This window comes from Homo sapiens, chromosome 7, assembly GCF_000001405.40.
Source record: "Homo sapiens chromosome 7, GRCh38.p14 Primary Assembly".
NCBI lineage: Eukaryota > Metazoa > Chordata > Mammalia > Primates > Hominidae > Homo > Homo sapiens.
The window spans coordinates 98326223-98351428 of NC_000007.14; the positions used below are offsets into that span (position 1 = coordinate 98326223).

At 44.8% G+C, this 25206-nt stretch overlaps 1 protein-coding gene across 1 annotated transcript in view, besides 1 other annotated feature; it reads right to left on the bottom strand.

Moving 5' to 3' along the window:
* Positions 1-25206, bottom strand: part of BAIAP2L1 (BAR/IMD domain containing adaptor protein 2 like 1) — a 109441-nt gene that overhangs the window by 34573 nt on the left and 49662 nt on the right. The window lies entirely within an intron of this gene.
* Positions 7922-8122: a silencer, noted in NCBI's record as "peak6654 fragment used in MPRA reporter construct". NCBI's record gives its function as "represses an SCP1 promoter by STARR-seq MPRAs in K562 erythroleukemia cells {active_cell/tissue: K562}" and the evidence as "EXISTENCE:reporter gene assay evidence [ECO:0000049][PMID:32103011]".

The following is a 25206-nucleotide window of genomic DNA, read 5'->3' on the forward strand; positions in this document are numbered from 1 at the left end:
GCCATGACTGTGCCACTGTACTCCGGCCTGGGCAACAGAGCAAGGCACAGTCTCAAAAAACCAAAACAAAAACACGTACAAACAACCAATGTGCTTGTAGGGGTGACCCCAAATAAGTGATAGGGTGAGCATTGCCTGGATCATTCCTCCGTGTCTAGCTGCTGACTTAAATAACAACGGCACCACATCCTAATCAATGTCTTACAAGGAGACATTGTAAGTTACTGTACACTGTGCTCAAAACTAACTAACTAACTTAACTAACTAGCGGGTATGCCACAAGAGCCGGCTTGAAGGAGCTAGTACTGGCCATGTAGAAGCTCATACTGGGACAACTTGAGCACCAAAATAAAGGCAGTCACAAATTACAAGTCATGGAAAAGTCTAGGAATCTGCGAGTCCACAGTAAACAGATTAGAAAAAAGAAATGGGGGACCAGGGACAGCTCTTGCTAGAAGTAGAGTTGCACAGTGCCAATCAGTAAATGAAGAGGGAGTACAGAGATGGAAAATCATCACCACAGGGCAGGGAAGACTTGTCTGGACAAAAATCATCAACAGATGCTCAACTAGGGCACAAGTGTTGACAAGGAAAGAGAGGTTTGTATGGTCTGAAAGTGTTTTCCCCACAAATTGCTTACTAGTCGTGACAAAAAAAAAAATTAACTACACAGTGTAGAGATCAGACAACACCTTCAATGGACAATCAAAACAAACATAACAAATGAGAGGAAGATGAACACTGTGTGCTGAAATTTTATACTCAGCGGACATAAAATGACTTGGACAGTATTCCAGCTGAGAACACACAATCTGAATCTAATCAGGGAGATCTGGTATTTGAAAGTGAGGATCCCGGCCAGGCGCGGTGGCTCATGCCTGGAATCCCAGTGCTCTGGGAGGCCAAGGCAGATGGATCACCTGAGGTCAGGAGTTTGAGACCAACCTGGCCAATATGATGAAACCCTGTCTCTATTAAAAATATAAAAATTAGTCGGGTGTGGTGGTGCACATCTGTAATTCCAGCTACTTGGGAGGCTGAAGCATGAGAATTGCTTCAACCAGGGAGGCAGAGGTTGCAGTAAGCTGAGATCATGCCACTGCACTCCAGCCTAGGCAACAGAGCAAGACCTTGTAAATAAATAAATAAATAAATAAATAAATAAATAAAGCCAGGCGTGGTGGCTCACGCCTGTAATCCCAGCACTTTTGGAGGCCAAGGCAGGCGGATCACCTGAAGTAAGGTGTTTGAGACCAGCCTGGCCAACATGGTGAAACTCTGTCTCTACTAAAAATACAAAATTAGCCGGGCATGGTGGTGCACACCTGTGATCCCAGCTACCTGGGAGGCTGAGGCAGAAGAATCACTTGAACTCGGGAGGCAGAGGTTGCAGTGAGCTGAGATTGCACCACTGTACTCCAGCCTGGGTGAAAAGAGCAAAACTCTGTCTCAAAAAAAAAAGAAAAGTGAAGATTTTGTATTCCTGACTATTCATCCTTGTTTAGCATTTCTGATGTGGGTTCGTGCCTGTGCCAATTCTTTATTGCACTACTAAATGGATTTACTTATTTCTTTTTAGAGAGGAATAAATTGATTTCATCCACCTCCGGCGGTTAATCCAGTGTGGTTGAGGGAGGTAAGGGGGAAATGGAGAAGTGTGTTAACAGGATAAATATTATTAACGCTTTGCTTAACAGTAAAATCTCTGGCAACCTCAATTTTAGAAAATGAGAGACATGGCTGAAGACTTGGAGGTGAAAAGCCAAAAAGAGCTGCAAGCAGAAACCCGAACATTGTTTTTTTTTTTGGAGAATGGGTTCCCTTTTAGACACAGCACAAATACACCTTCATTTTATATATAAGTCTAGAATGGATTGCTCAAAAGACATTGATTTTTTTCATACTAAAAAGTCAGAAGCGACTGCTGACCTCTGAGTAATAGAATACAAGATCTTTAGGAAGAAGAGCTCATGAGGAAGATGGGAAGGCTGGCTGAGGAGGCCGGAGAAGGGCCAGGCACCACGAAAGGGAAAAGACTGGACGCAGCTTCAGAAGGCAGAAGGTTCTGGATCAGCCTCTATAGAGAACTCAAGGACACGAAGACGGGGCAAAGGTCACAGCATCCGCAGGAAGATGCAATGACATCAGACAGGCCTCTTAGTACCTGTGCATCCCCGGGAAGTTCCCTAACCTCTTTCTGCAGTATCTCTTGGAGCTGTGGTATTCTCATCTGTGTAGAGTGCCTGCTCCACAGGCTTCGGTGGGTACTGTGCTTTCCAGTGTTCTGGAGAGAAACACTGGCTGCTGAGGTGCCCCAGTCCAGACACGTGGAGCAGATGGGTTCAATAATGCACTGGCTTATACCTGGAGTCCCAGCTACTTGGGAGGCTGAGGTGGGAAGACTGCTTGAGCCCAGAAGTTGGAGACCAGCCTGGCAACATAGCAAGATCCCATCTCAAAAAAAAAAAAAAAAAAAAATTCATGATACACACCAACAAAAATGTGCCCACACACTCCTCAACAGGCCATTTTCTAGGCGAGTACTTGTTTTCTGGAAATAAAATCCACACATGTGATTGTTCAGCCTGTAGTCACCATTTTTTGGTGCACTTTACACATATCCATCTATACACTCAGCTCGACACTTCTGTCATAGCCTTTCTTTCCCCAGTCCCGGAGTCCTCAAAGGAAAAACTGTCAATCTCCTGTTATCTAAGGGAACATACCTGTAGAGTATACTTTATTTTCCTCTATCTTTTAAAACCTTAAACAGAATACTGAGAACCTCAGTCTGAAGTGCTGACATTTCTCCTATAGTTTAAGTTGCATCCATCAGGATTGATCCATCAGAGAACACACACATCTGGTCACCGTTGATGCAAAAACAATCGCAAAGGCACTTCCGGTTTCCACTCCAGCACGTCTAAGAGCTTAGAGGTCGTCACTCCCTTATAATAAGAAAAAGCTAAACAAATGGAAACAAGCTAAAATAAGAAACAGTAATTCTGAGACGCATGACAGGACTAAGCTCACAGGGTGAAGATGTACCCTGAAAACCAGACGGACAGGCTGACGCAGAGACTCACAGTTCACAGGGAGCAGAGACCAATGCTGGGGCCATTCCTGGCAGAAACTCTTACACCGCAGTGGAAGAACTGCTGGGGGCTTGGCATGGAGGAGTCTGAGAGTTGCAAACTTCAGGGGGTCAGTCTTTGCGGGCGGTCCCCACACTTTCATGAGTTTTACGTCTAGGAGTCCCACCACATTCTCAAGGGGAGGTTGGATAAGCTTCCCCTGAGGCTTCTGGTAGAGGGGGTGGGAGGTAAACATTCTGAAATATGCCCAGAGCTTTGTTCTGTTCCAGTTATGTTCTCTGTACGGAAGGCCGGGCCTCAAGGGAATCTGCTGTAATAAAGCCTTATCTGACCAGGGAAAGGGCGACTTGCTAACTCCAGCCCCCTCCAGTCTTCCTGTCTCAAGTAAAGGGATTTAAAAAAAAAAAGACTCAGAAACTCTTCCAAAAGGCATCCCAGGAACTCTGGCCTATCACCCCACACCCATCCAAACACAGGGATTTAAACATAAGAGGAAGATTCTTCCCCTCCCCAGTACTTGGCCACCAAGTTATCCATCAACAGGGCTCCGGGATAATATCTGTGGATTACAGCACAGAGCCGTAAGTAAGACACAGGCTTCATTTAGAAGAATTTTCTTGGGAAAACCAAAGACAACAGCAGCGAGAAAAAACAAGGACATCAGAGGAAAACCAAAGCCTCTGACTCCGTTACAAATACAGCTTCCTCTATCGTTAAATCCATGCTAACTCCTAGCCAGATAAACATAAATCCTCACACTAAAGGCTCATCTACCTCAGTTCCTATTATCTGACACGTCATGTTCAGCTTCTAAAAGCAGCAAACATTACAGGCATGCTAAGAAAAAAAACCAGATTCAGATGTGGTAGAGAATCTGGAATTATCAGACAGAGAACTAACCACCACCATGACTAATATGCTGAGGGTTCTACTGGGAAAAAGTGGGCAACGTGCAAGAAGAGATGGGTAATGGAAGCAGAGAGATGATGTGTTAGTCCGTTTTGTGTTGCTTATAAAGAACACCCGAGACTGGGTAATTCATTAATAAAGGAGGTTTAGGCCAGGCGTGGTGGCTCACACCTGTAATGCCAGCACTTTGGGAGACCGAGGCGGGCGGATCATCTGAGGTCAGGAGTTCTAGACCAGCTGGACCAACATGATGAAACCCTGTCTCTACTAAAAACACAAAATTAGCCGGGCGTGGTGGCGCACGCCTGTAATCCCAGCTACTCGGGAGGCTGAGGCAAAAGAATCGCTTGAACCCTGTAGGCGGAGGTTGCAGTGAGCCGAGATCACACCATTGCATTCCAGCCTGGGTGACAGAGCAAAACTGTTTCAAAAAAATAATAATAAAAATAAAAAATAAAGGAGGTTTATTTGGCTCTGGGTTCTGCGTGGTACCAGCATCTGCTTGGCTTCTGGCGAGCCCTCAGGAAACTTCTACTCATAGCAGAAGGCAACGTGGGCACAGGCATGTCACATGGTGTGAGAGGGAGCAAGGGAGTGGGAGGGGTGCCCTCTCTGTTAAGCAAGCAGATCTTATGTGGACTAATAGAGTGAGAACTCACTTATTACTGCAAGGAGGGCACCAAGCCTTTCACGAGGAATCTGCCCCCATGACACAAATACCTCCCACTAGGCCCCCACCTCCAATAGTGGGGGTCACATTTCAACATAAAATTGGGAGGGGGCTGATATCCAAACTATATCAAATAGAAACTCAAAGATTCAAAAAGAAATACTAGAAATCAAAAACACTGAAATGAAGAAACAAAGAATGCCTTTGATAAGTTCACCAGCAGACTGGACACGACCAAGGGAAGAATGAATGAGCTTGAAGATACGTCAACATAAACTTCCGAAACTGAAATGCAAGGAGAATAAAGAACAAAAAATGAAACAGAATATCCAAGAACTGCGGGAAAATTACAAAAGGTATAAATAGCCACAATGGAAATACCAGGAGAAAAAGAGAGAAGGGAACAAAAACAATAAAAACTGATGTAATAATATGAGAATCTTCCAAAGTTACTGGCAGACACCAAACCACAGACCCAAAAAGCTCAGAGAACACAGGACAGGATAAATACTAGAAAATCTGCACCTTGGTATACATATTCAAACTGTAGACTAGCAAAAAGAAAAATCTTTTTTTTTTTTTTTTTTTGGAGACAGACTTTCACTCTTGTCGTCCAGGCTGGAGTGCAATGGCGTGATCTCGGCTCACCGTGACCTCCGCCTCCCGAGTTCAAGCGATTCTCCTGCCTCAGCCTCCCGAGTAGCTGGGATTACAGGCATGCACCACCACACCCAGCTAATTTCGTATTTTTAGTAGAGATGGGGTTTCACCATGTTGGCCAGACTGTGTTTCGAAATCCTGACCTCAGGTGATCCACCTGCCTCAGCTTCCCAAAGTGCTGGGATTACAGGTGTGAGTCACCATGCCTAGCCAAGAAAAATCTTAAAAGCCAGAGGAAAAGAACACCTTGCTTCTAGAGGAACAATGATAAGAATGACATCAGACTTCTATTTACAAACCATGCAAGCAAGAAGAGAGTGGAGTAAAATACTTAAGTGTTGGAAGAAAAAATTCACCAACATAGAATTCTTCAGTAAAATCATCCTTCAAAAGTGAAGAAGAGATAAAGACATTCTCAGACAAACAAAAACTGAGGGGATTGGTTACCAGTAGGTCTGACTTGGGAAAAGATGTTAAAAGAAGTTCTTCAGAGACAAAAATCACATAGGTCGGAACTTTGGATCTACATAAAGAAAGGAACAGGGCTGGGCGCAGTGGCTCACACCTGTAATTCCAGCACTTTTGGGAGGCTGAGGCGGGTGGATCACTTGAGGCCAGGAGTTAGAGACCAGCCTGGCCAACATGGTGGAACTCTGTCTCTACCAAAAATATAAAAATTAGCCGGGTGTGGTGGCGCACACCTGTAATCCCAGCTACTCGGGAGGCTGAGGCAGGAGAATTGCTTGAATTCAGGAGGCAGAGGTTGCAGTGACCCGAGATCGCTCCACTGCACTCCAGCCTGGGTGACAGAACAAGACTCCATCTCAAAAAAAAAAAAAAAAAAAAAAAAAAAAAAGACAACATTCTAGATATTTAATGTCACCTTTTCAGTGAGGTACAATCTAGTCTTCCAATACCTAAGGTAGTACTTAGTAAAGATGTCTCCTCTAAAAAGTATAACAAAGTATACAGGCCTGGCGCAGTGGCTCACACCAGTAATCCTAGCACTTTGGGAGGCCAAGGCAGGCGAATCACAACGTCAGGAGTTCGAGACCAGGCTGGCCAACAAGGTGAAACCCCATCCCTACTAAAAATACAAAAAATTAGCTGGGCCTAGTGGTGGGCACCTGTAATCCTAGCTACTCAGGAGGCTAAGGCAAGAGAATCACTTGAACCTGGGAGGCAGAGGTTGCAGTGAGCCGAGATCACGCCGCTGCACTCCAGCCTGGGTTACAGAATGAGACTTCGTCCCCAAAAAAAAAAAAAAAAAAAAAAGTTAGCTGGCATCTCTCCTCAGTTGACAACCTCCAGAAGCCCCATCTGCACCCGGGGTTAAGAGGTAGAGCCCTTGCCAGGACTCTCAAAGCCCTACGCGACCCAGCCTCATGCCTTCTGTCTGCAGACCTCATCCTCGCCTGCCCCTCAGCCACACTGGCTTACATGTGTGACCCAAGCCCACTAAAGCCTCAGGGCCTTTGCACTTGCCAGCTCCCACTAGAATGTTCTCCCCAGACACCTGCCTGATGAGTTCCCCGCAGTGCACGTCCCTGACCACCCTACCTAAAACAGCTGCATCCCACCCCTTCTATCACTCAGTGGCCCCTTGCCTTATTACTACCTGGATATTAGACTTGTTTATCTGTCCACCCCACTAGAATGTTAGTTCCCTGATGGCAGGGACTTCTGTTTCATTGATTTATCCCCAGCAACTAGAACAATGCCTACGAGACAGGAGATGTTCATTTAAATGAGCACACTGGGCCAGGTGCGGTGGCTCACACCTATAATCCCAGCACTTTGGGAGGCCGAGGCAGGCGGATCACCTGAGGTCAGGAGTTCAAGACCAGCCTGGCCAACTTGGTGAAACCTCACCTCTACTAAAAATACAAAAAATTAGCTGGGCGTGGTGGTGGGCGCCTGTAATCCCAGTTACTCAGGATGTCGAGGCAGGAGAATCACTTCAACCTGGGAGGTGGAGGTTACAGTGAGCTGAGGTCATGGCACTGCACTCCAGCCTGGGCAACAGAGGAAGACTCTGTCTCAAAATAAATAAATAAATAAATATAAAATAAATGAGCACACTGGTATTTAAATATCAAAGAAAAACTACTGCAATTTCTTGATTATTAGACATTTGGTTTTATGTCATTTTCAGAATACCAAGGGATAACTACCCCGCCCACCCTCCCCAAACTAAGGGACAATTTTCCCCACGAACCAAGAAGAAACAAACCCTGTACCCAATCCCAGTACTCCAGTCTTCATCTTCCTCCCTGGCTCACGGCTCCACGATGGTGCCAAGGCTCATGTGTGGAATGTTACATTTTAAAAAGCGGTGCACAAAGTCTATAGGCACAGGGTTTAATTATGTAAAAAGAGGCATTTAAAAATAATAAAGTTAGAAATTGAGTTTGATGTTTATTAGGTTCATTTCTCAGTAAAGGTATACATTTAAAAAACACATAAAGTATATTTTAATTCCCATTTTAAAATGAAAGTACATTTCTAAACTTCCCGGGGGACTCATAAGCTATTTTAAAATGTTAATATGAAATGAGAAATTAGGCAGAAGAATAAACATGGCCTAAGATTAAAATGTTTAATCAAATAAGAAGAAAAAGAGAGATCTTAGTAGGTAACAAATTTCTATAGTTATAAAAATGGAAGCTACTAACAGCCCTGCCTTCGAGTTTAAATGCCTGAGTCACACAGATCAGCATCAGTGCACCCAAGAGTTATAGGAACAGGCTTACTCTGGAGTCTAAAAGTCCAGCTTCATTGTAAAGAGCTCACCATTTAATATGCCTCTTCAGTCACCTAGTAATTTTTATTTTACCTTTGAACTCATACTTCTAAAATATTAGTCAGTTTTTTTTTAATAACTCAAAACCTTTTAGTCCTAATAATACCAATTCTTATTTCAATTTGAAACAAGAACATACAAACCCAGAATCTGCAGCCTGGCACACAAAATAACGAGGCTCATTAAGGGGTTTTTGTTTTTTTGAGACAGAGTCTTGCTCCGTCACCCAGGCTGGAGTGCAGTGGCACGACCTCGGCTCACTGCAACCTCTGCCTCCTAGGTTCGAGCAATTCTGTCTCAGCCTTCCGAGTAGCTGGGACTGACTATAGGTGCCCCCCACCACGCCCAGCTACTTTTTGTATTTTTAGTAGAGATGTGGTTTCACCATATTGGTCAGGCTGGTCTCGAACTCCTGACCTCAGGTGATCCGCCCGCCTCGGCCTCCCAAAGTGCTGGGATTACAGGCGTGAGCCACCTTGCCTGGCCAAGTTTTTAAAAATTTATCCCTGGCTGGGCGTGGTGGCTCACGCCTGTAATCCCAGCACTTTGGGAGGCCGAGGCAGGTGGATCACGAGATCAGGAGATCGAGACCATCCTGGCTAACATGGTGAAATCCCGTGTTTCTCTACTAAAAATACAAAAAAGTAGCCGGGCGTGGTGGCGGGTGCCTGTAGTCTCAGCCACTCAGAAGTCTGAGGCAGGAGAATGGTGTGAACCCGGGAGGCGGAGCTGGCAGTGAGCCGAGATGACGCCACTGCACTCCAGCCTGGGTGACAGAGCAAGACTCCATCTCAAAAAAAAAAAAAAAAAAAAAAAAAAATTTATCTCCCATGATCCTCTCCATGAGCCCTAAATCCCAGGTCAATGGAAATATCCCATCCCTTCTCTCTGTTCCCTTCTCCAGAAAAGATCACCCTTTCCACTTCCAACGCTGACCATGGGGATATTACATATCATACCCTGACACTCAGTTTCCCTCCACCCCCACATAGGTGGGATCATCTCTTCCTATGAAATCCTATAGGCTTTGTACCATTTTACTCTAGCATTCCATCCTGTATTAAAACTATGAGTATAAATGCACACGTGTGTGTGTATATATTTCATCATCTCCTTTACTGCGTTGCAGGTATCTTGAAGGTGGGGACCAAGTCTTATTAATGCTGTAAATAAGGACCTTGATTTCAAGAAAGCCCAGATAAATCTGATTCATTGGATTAGAGCCCAATACTCTTATCTGATACACTCATTCAGTCAATCAACAAACATTTCTAAGCTCATCCTTAACTATATCCGATTCTCACATCCTTGCCTCACCAGAAATTTATAACTGAGGCAGGCAGCAGTGGCACAGGGGTGGTAACTGCTGCCAGCTCCCCCGCTGGGACTCCTCTCCGGCAGATGCCCCTGAAGGACCACCGGGACACCTTCCCTCAGCTTCAGTCCCATTCTTGAGACACTGCAGCGGCACAGCCGTTCACAGTTCCTGTCCAGGTTTTACAGAAGGGCTTGTCCCAAGGCCATTTTTTATACTGAACCAAATTCTGGCTTCCTGGATCCTCCTTCAACCAGACTGAAGGAATGATAGACAGGGGGTCTAAATCCTCCTTAAAAAGGGAAATCATGTCCTTTGCAGTAGCATGGATGCAGCTGGAGGCCAGTATCCTAAGTGAATTAACGCAGGAACAGAAATCCAAATACCGCATATCTCACTTATAAGTGGGACCTCCACATTGGGTACTCGTGGACATAAAGATGGGAACAACAGACACTGGGGACTATGAGGGGGGGTGGGAGAGAGGGGAATAAGGGTTAAAAAAGTAACTATTGTGTGCTATGCTCACCACCTGGGTGACAGGATCAGTCATACTCCAAACCTTGGCATCACATGATATACCCAGGTAACAAACCCACACATGCACCCCCCGAGTCAAAATATAAGTTGAAAGTAAAATAAATAAATGCATAAATAGGCCAGGCGTGGTGACTCACGCCTGTAATCCCAGCACTTTGGGAGGCCGAGACAGGCGAATCACTTGAGGTCAGGAGTTCGAGACCAGCCTGGCCAACATGGTGAAAAACGCTGTCTCTACTAAAAATACAAAAATTAGCTGGGTGTGGTGGCGGATGGCTGTAGTTCCAGCTACTTGGGAGGCTGAGGCAGGAGAATCGCCTGAACCCAGAAGGCAGAGCTTGCAGTGAGCAGAGATTGCACCACTGCACTCCAGCCTGGGCAACACAGCGAGACTTTGTCTCAAAAAAATAAAATAAAATAAATGCATAAATATATCATTCTCTTACATGCCCAGTCTTCCAGTTTTTGAAGACTGCTTTCATGATTTGCTCCCTGCATAGGCATCCAACATTTAAGGGTCGCCCTTAAGAAAGAGAATACAAAACTACAAATTGAAAATGAAGTGCCCTACAAGGTTTTAGAAGGGGTGGAGAGACTGGAAAGGCCTAAGGTTGAGTGCCGTGAGTTTTGTGGTGAATATTTCACTATCCATGGAATCAAGGACTTTGAATTTAAACCCCAGCTTTGCTCCTTACCTGTTGTGTGTACTCCTTAGCTGGATGAAATTAGACAAGTCACTCAACCTAAGCTTCCATTTTCTTGTCCATAAAATGGGAATAATCTCTCTTACCTGAGAGGACTGCTGTGAAAACTAAATGAGACTCCTGAATTTCGTATTTCCATTAATGCTAATAAAATTCATTTACTGTGCAAAGCGCACTGAGTCAGGGCCAACTAAAACTCTTCACGGGGTCACGGCGAGGTTACGAGGCAGCGCACGTGGGAAGTGCTGGAAAGTGTGTGGCACATTGTCTGAAAGATCTCTGACCAACCAGGACCCAATTCTGGTTTTCAGATACCATTTTTTTTTTTTTTTTGAAAGAGTCTCACTCTGTTGCCCAGGCTGGAGTGGAATGGTGCAATCTTGGCTCACTGAAACCTCCGCCTCCTGGGTTCAAGCAATTCTCCTGCCTCAGTCTCCCGAGTAGCTGAGATTACAGGCGTGTGCCATCACGCTCAGCTAATTTTTGTATTTTTAGTAGAGACGGGGCTTTGCCATTTGTCCACAATGGTCTTGAACTCCTGATCTCAAGTGATCCACCCACCTTGGCCTCAGATACCTTCTTGTGTGAACAGTTGAGGAGAATAAGGCAGCAATCAGATGTTAATGGCATTGCTGCCAGACTGCCTGAATATTCCAGAGTGCCAGAAAACACTGGTCAAATAACTGCTACTCCTACAGGTTTCATAGTTGGGTATGTGGCCGGGCGCGGTGGCTCACGCCTGTAATCCCAGCACTTTGGGAGGCTGAGAAGGGTGGATCACAAGGTCAGGAGTTCGAGACCAGCCTGGCCAACATGGTGAAACCCCATCTCTAATAAAAAGATACAAAAATTAGCTGGGCTTGGTGACGTGCACCTGTAATCCCAGCTACTCAGGAGGCTAAGGTGGGAGAATTGCTTGAACCCAGGAGGTGGAGGTTGCAGTGAGCCGAGATCACGCCACTGCACTCCAGCCTGGGTGACAGAGCAAGACTCCATCTCCAAACAAACAAACAAACAAATATGTACAGCTAGCCTCTTGAGTTATTACAATGCCTATTTTACTGATTTTAGTATGAATTCATTAGGATACCCCATATTGGCATACTTAACTCTTTTTAGTGGTATAATATACAAAAGTTTACCAAGGGTAACATTAGTACATTCACAATATTGTGCAACCATCACCACTACCCAGTTCACAATCATCTTCGTTACCTTAAGAGATGCCGTTAGGCGGGGCATGGTGGCTCACGCTTGTAATCCCAGCACTTTGGGAGGCCGAGGCGGGTGGATCACGAGGTCAGGAGATCGAGACCACGGTGAAAACCCGTCTCTACTAAAAATACAAAAAAAATTAGCCGGGCGCGGTGGCGGGCGCCTGTGGTCCCAGCTACTCAGAAGGCTGAGGCAGGAGAATGGCGTGAACCTGGGAGGCGGAGCTTGCAGTGAGCCGAGATTGCGCCACTGCACTCCAGCCTGGGCCACAGAGCAAGACTCCGTCTTAAAAAAAAAAAAAAAAAAAGACATGCCGTTAAGCAGCCATTCCCCATTCCCCTTTCTCGCATGAAGCCTCAAAATCTGCCTTCTCCCTTGAAGCCTCAAAATCTGCTTTCTATGTGGATTTGCTGATGCTGGGCATTTCATATAAACAAAATCATACAATAAATAGCCTTTTTATCTGGCTTCTTTGACGTGGCACATAACCAAGGTTCACCCGTATTGCAGCATATAGCGGTACTTCATTCTTTTTCGTGGGTAAATAATATTCCATTTTGTTTTTCCACTTATCAGCAGGTGGACATCTGGGCTGCCTCCACCTTTTGGCTATTGTGAGTTGTGCTGCTCTGAACATTTGTGGTCAAGACTATGTGTGGGTCAGGTGTGGTGGCTCATGCCTTTAATCCCAGCACTTTGGGAGGCTGAGGTGGGCGGATCACCTGAGGTCAGGAGTGTGAGACCAGCCTGACCAACATGGAGAAACACCGTCTCTACTAAAAATACAAAATTAGCTGAGTGTGGTAGCGCATGCCTATAATTCCAGCTACTTGGGAGGCTGAGGCAGGAGAATCGCTTGAACCCAGGAGGCAGAGGTTGAGGTGAGGTGAGACTGTACCATTGCACTCCAGCCTGGCCAACAGAGCAAGACTCTGTCTTTAAAAAAAAAAAAAAAAAAAGACTTTGTGTGGGCATATGTTTCATTTCCCTTGGGTTGGTGTCTAGAATGGAATCCTTGGTCATACGGTAATTCTATGCTTGAGTTTTAAGGAACTGGCAGACAGCTCCAATGTGGCTGCTCCATTTTACATGCCCACCAGCAATGGTCAAGGGTTCCAATTTCTCTGCATCTTTGCCAACACTTGTTATTGTCTGACTTTTTAATTGTGGCCACTCTATTGGGTGTGCTGTAGCTATCTTGTGGTTTGGATTTGTGTTTCCCTAATGGCTAATGATGTTGCGCATCTTTTCATGTGCTTGTTGGCACTCTTACTTTTAACAGTTTTGTTAAGTCACTCGGAAGAGGAAAGAGTACATAGGGAAGTGCATTTACTCCCAAGTTGCTAAAGACCAAAAAACTTCTAGAACCCCACCTGCACTAACGAAGACTCTAACCCCCCACCAGAACTGTCTACCCTCCACCGTGGCACCATGGTGTGCCCGGGAATGCGGCTGGCGTGGCCAGGCCTCACTCGCTTCATGATTCTAGCCGCATCCATCTTTGAGTATCCCTCTCTTCAGCCTGTCACGGGAGCTACGCCCTTTGCTGCTACCTGTGCGTGTGACCGCAGCAGCTCTTTCTTGGCATGCTCTCAACCCCACTCCCCAATTTGGGTGTCATAACCTAGTGTTTTCGTTCCTGACCCTTCACTGCAGGCCCAGCATGGTGCTGTGAAAAAGTTAGAAATCCACACCTATTTGTAAGAGGATGTAAGTAGCGCTTGTGAACAAGGATGGTGATGATGGCAGAGGCACAGCCCCAGGTCCTTTGCGCCACCCCCCCTCGCCATGACAGGCCAATTATCCGGCCCAGTTGTTGCAGCTCCTTGGCCAGCGGTCCTTTGGCTGTGGCTGACAGCGTGAGGACAGGGACACTTACGCTGTCTCCATCTTGAGTTACTAGGACACACAATATACTTCAAGGAGAAAAAGACCAATTTGAGTAACTGTGAAAACTGGGTTTAAACAATTTTCTGTTCAAACACTTAAAAATCCAAAGATTTAAGAGAACGGGCAAACATAATAAAGTTACAATGAAAAACAGGAAATGACGTTTCAGGTTGACACTTAGGATGTGCCCAGTGAGCAATCTGGAAGCATGAAGTGTGAAATGGCTAATCTGATTCAATGATTCAGCTTCTACATAAGTAATATTTATTTCTTTATTTTTTTGAGACAGAGTCTTGCCTTGTCGCCCAGGCTGGAATGCAGTGGCCCAATCTCGGCTCACTGCAAGCTCTGCCTCCCGGGTTCACGCCATTCTCTTGCCTCAGCCTCCTGAGTAGCTGGGACTACAGGCGCCCGCCACCACTCCCGGCTAATTTTTTGTATATTTAGTAGAGACGGGGTTTCACTGTGTTAGCCAGGATGGTCTCGATCTCCTGGCCTCGTGATCCACCCGCCTCGGCCTCCCAAAGTGCTGTGATTACAGGCATGAGCCACCACGCCCGGCTATGTAAGTAATATTTACTAATTATAGTACATTGAGTATATATATACTCACTTCAAAGCTGAGAGAAGGAATGTTCTTCTTGTAACAACTTTTGTAAACAAGTACAATTTATAACACAGAACATCTTCCTAAACTTTAGGAATGTACACATACTTACACCAATGCGCCTACACGACACATGGACTTCCACAGTACATGCTCTTACAGGTTTTTTTTTTTTTTTGCAGGGGACAGAGTTTCACTCTGTCACTCAGGCTGGAGAGCAATGGTGTGACCTCAGCTCACCTCCGCCTCCTGGGTTCAAGCGATTCTCCTGCCTCAGCCTCCCGAGTAGCTGGGATTACAGGTGCCTGCCACCAGGCCCAGCTAATTGGTTTTTTTTTTTTTTTTGTCTCTTACAGGTTTTATAAATTATAACCCTACCTTTCTAATTATTCTAGCTGAGACCTTTCCTGTTCCAAAAGGGAGAAGAAAGAACATCCACCCAAAAATTGAGATGAGAAAAGCCACCTTCAAGGTCTAAAGGCATTTATCATGTGCTTGCTTCCAGGAAAAAAATTATTTTCCAAACCCCAAACTGAAAATACTCAAGAAAAAAAGCTGGAATAATGATCGCATTATAAATGCTTCTAAGTAAAACCAGCAAAATTGTGATTACAGCTGAGAAAAATCCAACAAAATACAGACTCATACTCACATGGTTAGTCAGCATGGACCATATGATGGTTTGCAATTTAACACAATCCTTTATTTTGCTGAACTCTAATTGGCAGGAAAATCTGACAGCCATAAAGTAAAGCCGTTAGAAAAGCACAGTCCAGGTGCAGTGGCTCATGTCTGTAATCTTAGCACTCTGGGAGGCTGAGGTGGGAGGACTGCTTCAGCCCAGGAGTTCGAGACCAGCCTGGGCAACACAGAAAGACCCCCATCTCTAAAAAAAATTTTTTATTTTTTAAAAAAGCACATCTTTTGGACATATAGAAAATTAAGTTGGCAGACTAGGTCATATACCTGGTAGGTAGCCTGGGGTCCAATGAACCAGCCACTGACCAGATACGCGACCTCAGCAAGTTACTGCCTTTGTACCTCAGTCTCCTCATCTATAAAACGGAAATAACAAGCATGGGCCTCACAGTGCTGTCATGATGATTATAGGAGTTAATATTACATTTATAATGTGCTTAGAACTGTGCCTGGCATATAGCAGGTACAGTGTTCAGTAAATAAAATCTCCTCTTGTTTCTTTGCTATTTTTGTGGAAGAATTTTAATCTCTTTAAAGTGAGTCTAACCTGTAACTAAAAGATAAGTGATTTTGGTCAATTATAACTGCTGTGGCTCAGCTCAGCTCTTTCCCTACTGTGGTATGAATTCTTTTATCCAGATCTTAGGAATATATTTGTAATATTGTTGTGAATTAGTAACATTTCAAAAATGTTTCAGAAATTTTTTTCTGATTTTTTTTTTTTTTTTTTTTTTTTTATAAAGACAGAGTCTTGCTCTGTCATCCAGGCTGGAGTGCAGTGGTGTAATCATGGCTCACTGCAACCTCCGCCTCCCAGGTTCAAATGATTCTCATGCCTCAGCCTCCCAAGTAGCTGGGATTACAGGTGTACGCCACCATGCCCAGCTAACTTTTGTATTTTTAGTAGAGATGGGGTTTTGCCATGTTGGCCTAGCTGGTCTCAAACTCCTGGCCTCAGGTCCACCCACCTCGGCCTCCCAAAGTGCTAGGATTACAGGTGTGAGCCACTGCACCCAGGCTGAGCCACCGTTCCTGGCTTCTGCTCTAATTTTTAGACCAAAGACTGTCAGATTGGATTCTGAGTATCAGCAAGACAAATCTATAATGTAGTTTTTAAAAATTGCATGATCCATAAGCATTCTATCAATGATTAAAGGAAATCTATGATTTTCTAGGTTCCCTGATAGTGAGGAGATAAAATATTCTGTTTTGTGCCCAATTTCAGAAACTGGCCCAAACAATAAATGATTCAAAATGCAATGGCTGACTAAACTACAACAAAATAACATAGCCTAAATTTACATAATGGTGAGCTCTAAAAAGCTCAAAGCAAATTTATAAACTCCCCAAAGAAAGTCTTATTTCCTGAGAAGTCAATGAGAACATCCTTTATTTTTCTCTGCTTTAAGGATGAAAAAACTGACTCAAAGGTTCTTCTAAAGATTTTGGCAAAACATTTTCCCCTTACCATTTCTGTTTTCCCTTTCACCTTTTCAATATTTTCTGAGTTATAAAAATAAACCTTGCTTGATTTAGGAACAAAACTGGAAGTTTATGAAAATGTCAGATTCCTTTTTTAAATGGGCACTGCTGGGTAGCTGTGCTGCCTTGAACTGAACTGTGTACAGGTAATGAAGGATTAACCTTTATCACGTGTGATAAAGGATTTAACTTTATCACACGTGATAAAGTCACATGAGTGACTTTAGGTACACCCACTGACAATCTGTTGAGTGGCATGAATTTGACCCCATGACCTATTATTTAACAATTAAACAGTGGGAGCGGCCAGGCGCAGTAGCTCACGCCTGTAATCCTAGCACTTTGGGAGGCTGAGGTGGGTGGAACACTTGAGGTCAGGAGTTCGAGACCAGCCTGGCCAACATGGTGAAACCCTGTCTCTACTGGAAAAAAAAAATACACACACACACACACACACACACACACACACACACACAGACACACACACACACTAGCTGGGTGTGGTGGCAGGCGCCAGTAGTCCCAGCTACTTGGGAGGCTGACGTGGGAGAATTGCTTGAGCCCAGGAGGTGGAGCTTGCAGTGAGCCAAGATCACGCCACTGCACTCCAGCCTGGGCAACAGAGCCAGACTCTGTCTCAAAATAAATAAATAAATAAAAATAAACAGTTGGATTAAAATATGTTACTGGCCAAACCCTGACTACTGATCTCTGGATTTGGGTTGACGGTTTGTTTGCTCTGCCCAACAAGACGAAGAGGTTAGGACTTGAGTATCCCATGCTACTGTGGTTGTTAGGATTATGTCGTTAATGCACCTTAAATCCAGACACTTAGCTAGCTGGTAGTAAAGAAGTGCTTTTTCTTTGGAGAAAAGGATACCAAATCCCTCACAAGATTATCCCAATTGAAGCAAGCAACTGTATGACACAAGAGATCTTCTACTGTCTGGGTAAGGGCCAAATTGCAAAAACTTTAGGCCTTGTGGGCCAAACGTCTCTGCTGCAGCCACTCAGCCCTGCTACTGTATCCTGAATGTAACCCCAGACAGGAACAAATGGGCACAGCTGTGTTCCAATAAAACTTTCCTGGCCGGCACAAAGGCTCACGCCTGTAATCCCAGCACTTTGGGAGGCCGAGGCGGACGGATCATGAGGTCAAGAGATCGAGACCATCCTGGCCAATATGGTGAAACCCCATCTCTACTAAAAATACAAAAAAATCAGCTGGGTGTGGTGGGTACCTGTAGTCCCAGCTATAGGGAGGCTGAGGCAAGAGAATCACTTGAACCCGGTAGGTGGAGGTTGCAGTGAGCTGAGATCGCGCCACTGGCACTCCAGCCTGACGACAGAGCAAGACTCCGTTCCAAAAAACAAACAAACAACTTTCTTTACAAGCAGGCCCTGGTCATCCCTGGCTGTAGTTTGCTCACCCCTGCAGTTAAGGTACATCTGGTAAAGGTGATATTTTAGCAAAATGAAATTGAAAGGTTTCAAATTATATGTTAACTCTTATCTTCAAGTCATTGAGAACATTCAGCATGAAAACAACTAGAATTTGGTATTTCTCTTTAAATCATCAATATTTTTCTATCACTTTCAAATATACTTGAAGAAAGAGCAAGGACACATTTTCTGAATCATCTATCTAATAGAATAGATTCTATTCATAAAGGACCTTTTATTTTAAGGAGGAAAATCAAGAAATGAGTTCTCTGGTGGGGGTAAAATGTAGGTCTGACAGATTTGCCGATCATTTAAATCCATCATTATTTCCTAAATTTTAGATACTAACTTGCAAATTTTGCATATGTATATTAAAGTGTATCTTCTTCCTAAGAAGTAGGCTGGGCGTTGTGGCTCACGCCTGTAATCCAGCACTTTGGGAGGCCGAGGTGGGCGGATCACCTGAGGTCAGGAGTTTGAGACCAGCCTGACCAACATGGTGAAACCCCGTCTCTACTAAAAATGCAAAAAATTAGCCAGGCGTGGTGGCACATGCCTGTAATCCCAGCTACTTGGGAGGCTGAGGCAGGAGAATCACTTGAACTCGGGAGGCGGAGGTTGCAGTGAGCTGAGATCGCGCCATTGTACTCCAGCCTAGGCAACAAGAGCGAAACTCTGTCTCAAAAAAAGAAAAACAAGTGAACTATATTATTTTTCAGAGACTCAGAGAGGCTCTCCCATTGCTTGGCATTTCTACTTTTCATTTCCTGGTGATTTCCAATGGCAAAACTTTTACATCTTCCATGAGGCTGAGGCAGGAGGGCTGCTTGAGCCCAGGAGTTCAAGACCAGCCTAGGCAACATAGCGAGACCCTGTCTTTAAAGACACAAAAAAATTTACATCCGCAATAAAGAGGACAACCAGCCTAACATGGAAGAGAACAATAAGAGGACTTGACAAAACCCTTACAGAAAGAATCCTTCATGAACGGCCATCAAGAGATACAATAAAAACACCTAGCAGAATTTGACTCTCAAGAACTTCAAGCAACGGAACTGCTTTATAAATGACAAAAGTCAATTTGCAAACTCAATAATAAAAAAAAACATAATTTAAAATGGGCAAAGGATCTGAACAGACATTTCTCCAAAGAAGATATGCAAATGGTCAGTAAGAACATGAAAAGATGGCTGGGCACGGTGGCTCACGCCTGTAATCCCAGCACTCTGGGAGGCCGAGGCGGGTGGATCACCTGAGGTAAGGAGTTTGAGACGAGCCTGACCAGTATCGTGAAACCCCATCTTTACTAAAAATACAAAAATTAGCTGGGTGTGGTGGGGGGGTACTGTAGTCCCAGCTACTCGGGAGGCTGAGGGACGAGAATCGCTTCAACCTGGGAGGCAGAGATTGCAGTGAGCCGAGATCGCACCACTGCACTCCAGCCTAAAAGTCAATTTGCAAACTCAATAATTAAAAAAAATTAATTTAAAATGGTCAAAGGATCTGAATATACATTTCTCCAAAGAAGATATGCAAATGGCTAGTAAGAACATGAAAAGATGCTCAATGTCGTTAGTCACTAGGGAGATGTGAACGAAAGCCAAAATGAGAGCCCACTTCACACTACAGGATGTGTAAAATCATTTATAGGATGGCTATACTAAAAAAAAAAAAGAGACAATAACAAGTGTTAAAGATGTACAGCAAATGAATGGTTGGATACGGTTGGAGTTAAATGGGAAGCAACTGCTAATGGGTGAGGGTTTCTTTTTGCGGTGATGAAAATATCCTAAAGTTAATTGTGGTGATAATCACACAACTTTGTGAATATACTAAAAACCAGTGAACTGTATACTTTAAATGGGTAAACTGTATCTCAAGCTGCTATAAAAATAAATACAACAAAAAATTAATTTGCAGATTTCAGAAAAGAACTAAATAGGACTTCCAGTAACGAAAGACAGGCACTAAACAATTCAATGGAACCAGCAGTTAGGAAATAAAAATTTAAAAATACCATTTACAATAGGACAAAACACATAAAGAATGAGTCTATAAAAAAGGAGGAGACTTCCACAATAAAAAATACAAAGTAGTGCTACAGAAACGAAAGAAATCTCAAATAAATGAAAGCATCTACCATTTTCATGGATTAGAAAATCCAATATTGCTAAGATGTCAACTCCACCTAAATCCACCCGTAAATTCAATGTATTCCAATCAAAATTCCAAGTGAATTTTTTAAAGTGGAAATTGACAAGCTGATTCTAAGATATAAACAAATGCAGAGGTCCTAGAATATCCAAGGTACTCTCAAATAAACACAAAGCTAGAGGACTTATGCGACTAGATACCAAGATTAGACAGTTGCAGTAATTAAGACAGTCTGCTATTGGTGCAAGGACAGCAGAGCATCCCCACAGACAGCCGAGTGTGTAGCTGCGTTGCCTCCTTGTCTCCCAGTGATAACCCAGGCGATGTTACAAAAATGAGTAACTACAAGAGAAACTGCTAACAAAACTGAAGACACAGAAATGAAATGGGAAAAGTAGCAACACTGAGTCAAACGTAGATGGAATTAGAGAAGAAACAGCTGACTGGAAATGCTGACACTGTTGGCCTTTGTGGCACTGGATGAACGGCCACAGGAACTGAGTGAGGCCAAAACTTACCAACATAATTGAGCCAAGTGGCTGTGATGAAAAGGATGAAGATGTTTCAGGGAAAGCGATGCCAGCAAAACAACAACAACAACAACAACAACAACAAAACAAAACAAAACTTCACCTTAAAGGAACTCTTGAAGATACTTCACAACATTGTAATTGCAAGGATGAAATGTTGGAAGCTGATCCAAATTTGGCAAGGAGTATGGCAATTTGCTAAAGCATAGAAAAGATGCTCGCCCTATCCTAAGCCATGAGAAGGTGGTAAGCCCTATTTACACCACTCCTGGTAGGATTTTTACAAATAAAAACTCTAATTCCCAATGTTTCTAATGCTTTAAAGTGTACAAATATTAGTTTTACTATTTTTTAATTTCCCTATACATTTATAACTGACAGTGAGTGCGTTTTTAACAAACATTTTTAAAGGTCATAGAACAACGTAATTTTGCAGTATCAAAATGACTTTGTGTGGTTTCAGCTTGCACATTTTTATGATGCCATTACCATGCAAAACAGGGCTGCCTGTTTTTAAAATTAGTGAGTTAAATGTACCACTTAAGAAATTAGAAAGGCCAGGCGCAGTGGCTCACGCCTGTAATCCCAGCACTTTGGGAGGCCGAGGTGGGTGGATCAAGAGGTCAGGAGATCGAGACCATCCTGGCTAACATGGTGAAAACCCGCCTCTACTAAAAATACAAAAAATTAGCCGGGCGCCGTGGCAGGCGCCTGTAGTCCCAGCTACTCGGGAGGCTGAGGCAGGAGAATGGTGTGAACCCGGGAAGCGGAGCGTGCAGTGAGCCAAGATCGCGCCACTGCACTCTGTCTGCCCGGGCGACAGAGCGAAACAATGTCTCAAAAAAAAAAAGAAATTAGAAAAAGAGCAGCCATAAGAAAGGATGAGTTCATGTCCTTTGCAGGGACATGGATGAAGCTGGAAACCATCATTCTCAGGAAACTAACACAGAACAGAAAACCAAACACCGCATGTTCTCACTCCTAAGTAGGAGCTGAACAATGAGAACATGGACATAGGGAGGGGAACATCACACACCGGGGCCTGTTGTGGGGTGGGAGGCTAGGGAAGGGATAGCATTAGGAGAAATATCTAATGTAGATGACCGGTTAATGGGTACAGCAAACCACCAAGGCACGTGTATATCTATGTAACAAACCTGCACGTTCTTCACATGTATCCCAGAACTTAAAGTATAATAAAAAAAAGAAATGAGAAAAAGAATAAAAGAGTCATTTCAAAGATACATGAAAGAGAGTAAAGGAGAGACCAATGAAATAGAAAACAAAGACACAATGGAGAGACTTGAACAACTGGTTCATGAATAATCAAGAAAAATATATATTCTGGCCAGGCGCAGTGGCTCACATCTGTAATCCCAGCACTTTGGGAGGCTGAGGTGGCCTGATCACTTGAGGTCAAGAGTTCAAGACCAGCCTGGGCAACATGACAAAACCCCATCTCTACTAAAAATACAAAACTTAGCCGGGCATGGTGGTGGGCACCTATAACCCCAGCTACTCAGGAGGATGCATCACGAGAATCGCTTGAACCCGGGAAGCAGAGGTTGCAGTGAGCCGAGATTGCACCACTGCACTTCAGCCTGGGCAACAGAGTGAGACTCTGCCTCCACAAAAAAAAAAAAAAAAAGAAAGAAAGAAAAGAAAAATGTTATATATTCTTTTATTACTTACTTTATGAGAAGAATGTCAATGAAGAAAATTGTCACTGTTTTTAAATTCTGAAATATTTGCGAATGTGTGAAGTAGAAAGAGAGAGGCATCCTTCTAGTCTTTGATACAGAAGCCACAAGGCACATCATCTCATTTCATCTAATGACCTGGAAGGCGTGGCTGTCACCTCCATGGTGAGTAAATAACCCACTGCCGAAGGTGAAGTGTTGCCCGGGGTCACACAAGTTAACAGCAGGAATGTGGCAACGTCACCACTCCCGAGCATCTCTTAGGTGCCAGGTGGCATGCTATCCAGCAGTCTCAGGGGAAAGTGAGATGTGGCCTGGCCTTACTGTCCTGGGTCAAAGGATCTTTCCCGGACTCGCCTGGGCGGGGTGAGCTCTGCAACCCAGGCAGCACCCATGTCCCTACCATCCCTGGAGGGGTAACCACCCCCACAGTCCATGCTCTGCCTAGCTTGGCTGCAAAACCCCTTGCTGGGGACATGTGACCCAATGTGGTTGCCCATGGAGGTTATCTCTTAGGCCCATGTAGAAAAAGGTGACAGCTACGTTTACCCTTAGGGCCTATCAGCCACCCTGAGGAAAAACACTGCACTCTGCAACCCCTGAGGAAGAAGTCACCCAGGAGGCTACTGAGGATGAAATGAGACAACAGAAGTGCCCGGCACGCGGTGGACACATCCGGAGACCCGTGTTTCTGTATGGAAGCACGTGGCGCAAGGGCAGGGAAATACTTCTAAGACGGCACAAGAGCGGAGCAATACTTCTAAGAAGAGCCACGCCCACGCTACGCCTCTGTGATTTCCACTATCCTTACCCCGTAACTCCTGGCGTTTATGGTTGGAACCCCAGTGAAACCACCATTTCCAAGGGGACTGTGACCGCTAATCATGACACCTGCCAGCCATTCAGACACTAACGATAACCTCTCATCCCCTTCTTGAAAAGTCCCCTGTCAGCCTGGGTGCAGTGGTTCACACCTGTAATCCCAGCACTTTGGGAGGCCGAGGCAGGTGGATTACCTTAAGTCAGGAGTTCAAGACTAGCCTGGCCAGCATGGTGAAACCCCATCTCTACTACAAAAAAAAAAAATACGGCCGGGGATGGTGGCTCACGCCTGTAATCCCAGCACTTTGGGAGGCCGATGGGAAGTTTTTGTTTGTTTGTTTGTTTTCTGACATGGAGTCTCACCTCAGGGCGGATCACCTGAGGTTGGGAGTTCGAGACCAGCCTGACCAACATGGAGAAACCCCATCTCTACTGAAAGTACAAAAATTAGCCAGGCATGGTGGCGCATGCCTGTAATCCCAGCTACTCGGGAGACTAAGGCAGGAGAATCGCCAGGCATGGTGGTGTATGCATATGTCCCATCTACAAGGGAGGCTGAGGTAGGAGGATGGCTTGAGCCCAGAAGATCGAGGCTGCAATGAGCCATGATGGCACAGCCCGGGTTTCAAGGTAAGACCCTGCCTCAAAAAGGGGGGAAAAAAAAAAAGAACATACTGACTGGAAAACAAGGCTAGAAAGAAAGACAAGGATGATAAAGCGTCTGCCTTAGAGTGCTCACATCTCGGGTGATGGTTTTTAATTTTCTCTATTCCCCCTGTTTTCAACCACGAGTCAGTGGCTGCTGACCAGACCATTCAGGTACCTTGGCAGCGAGAAAGATGAGCAGGGGAAATGCACCAGAGTCCATGGTTACAAGATATCCAAAGGCTTAAAAAAAAAAACAAAACAGCAGAAGGCTGGGCACAGTGGCTCATGCCTGTAATCCCAGCACTTTGGGAGGCTGAGGCGGGCAGATCACGAGGTCAAGAGATTGAGACCAGCCTGGCAAACATGGTGAAACAATACCGCTCCTACTAAAAATACAAAAATTAGCTGGGCGTGGTGGTGTGCACCTGTAGTCGCAGCTACTCAGGAGGCTGAGGCAGGAGAATTGCTTGAAGCCGGGACACAGAGGTTGCAGTGAGTCAAGATCGCGCCACTGCACTCCAGCCTGGGCGACAGAGCGAGACTTCGTCTCAAGAACAAAAACAAAAATAAAAAAACAAAACCAGCAGAAAAAACCTACAGCTACCCTAAGGCCCCCTACCCCACAGCCCCTATTTCTTCCTCTGTGCTTAGATCTCCCCTTCCCAAATAGAAACAGACTGGAAAGGATGGCTGTGGTCTTCTGGGGGAAAAAAGTGGGAGGGCCCTGGAAAAACAGCAATTATGAAGTTTTTGTTTGTTTTTTTTTGAGATGGAGTCTCACTCTGTTGCCCAGGCTGGACTGTAGTGGAGCGATCTTGGCTCACTGCAAACTCTGCCTCCCGGGTTCAAGTGATTCTCCTGTATCAGCCTCTCAAGTAGCTGGAATTACAGGCATGCGCCACCATGCCTGGCTAATTTTTTGGTATTTTTTTTAGTACAGACAGGTTTCACCATGTTGGCCAGGCTAGGCTCGAACTCCTGACCTCGGGTGATCCGCCCGCCTTGGCCTTCCAAAGTGCTGGGATTACAGGCCTGAGCCACTGTACCCGGCCACAATTATGAAGTCTGAAGTATATGCATGCTGGTAAAACCACACACCAGCCCACGAGGGAGAAAAACATCACTCCACTCAGACACACAAAAAACGCGGAAGCACCATGTACACCCAGAGCACCGCTAACATTTCTATCAGTCCTGCCCTTTCACTGAAAGTTGTTGAAAACAGACCTTTAATACCAGAGATGCCGACGTGGGGGCTGTCACCAGGCCATCTCCTAACAGCCACATCCTCTCTGACCTGGTGTTCCTTGGCTCATGCCT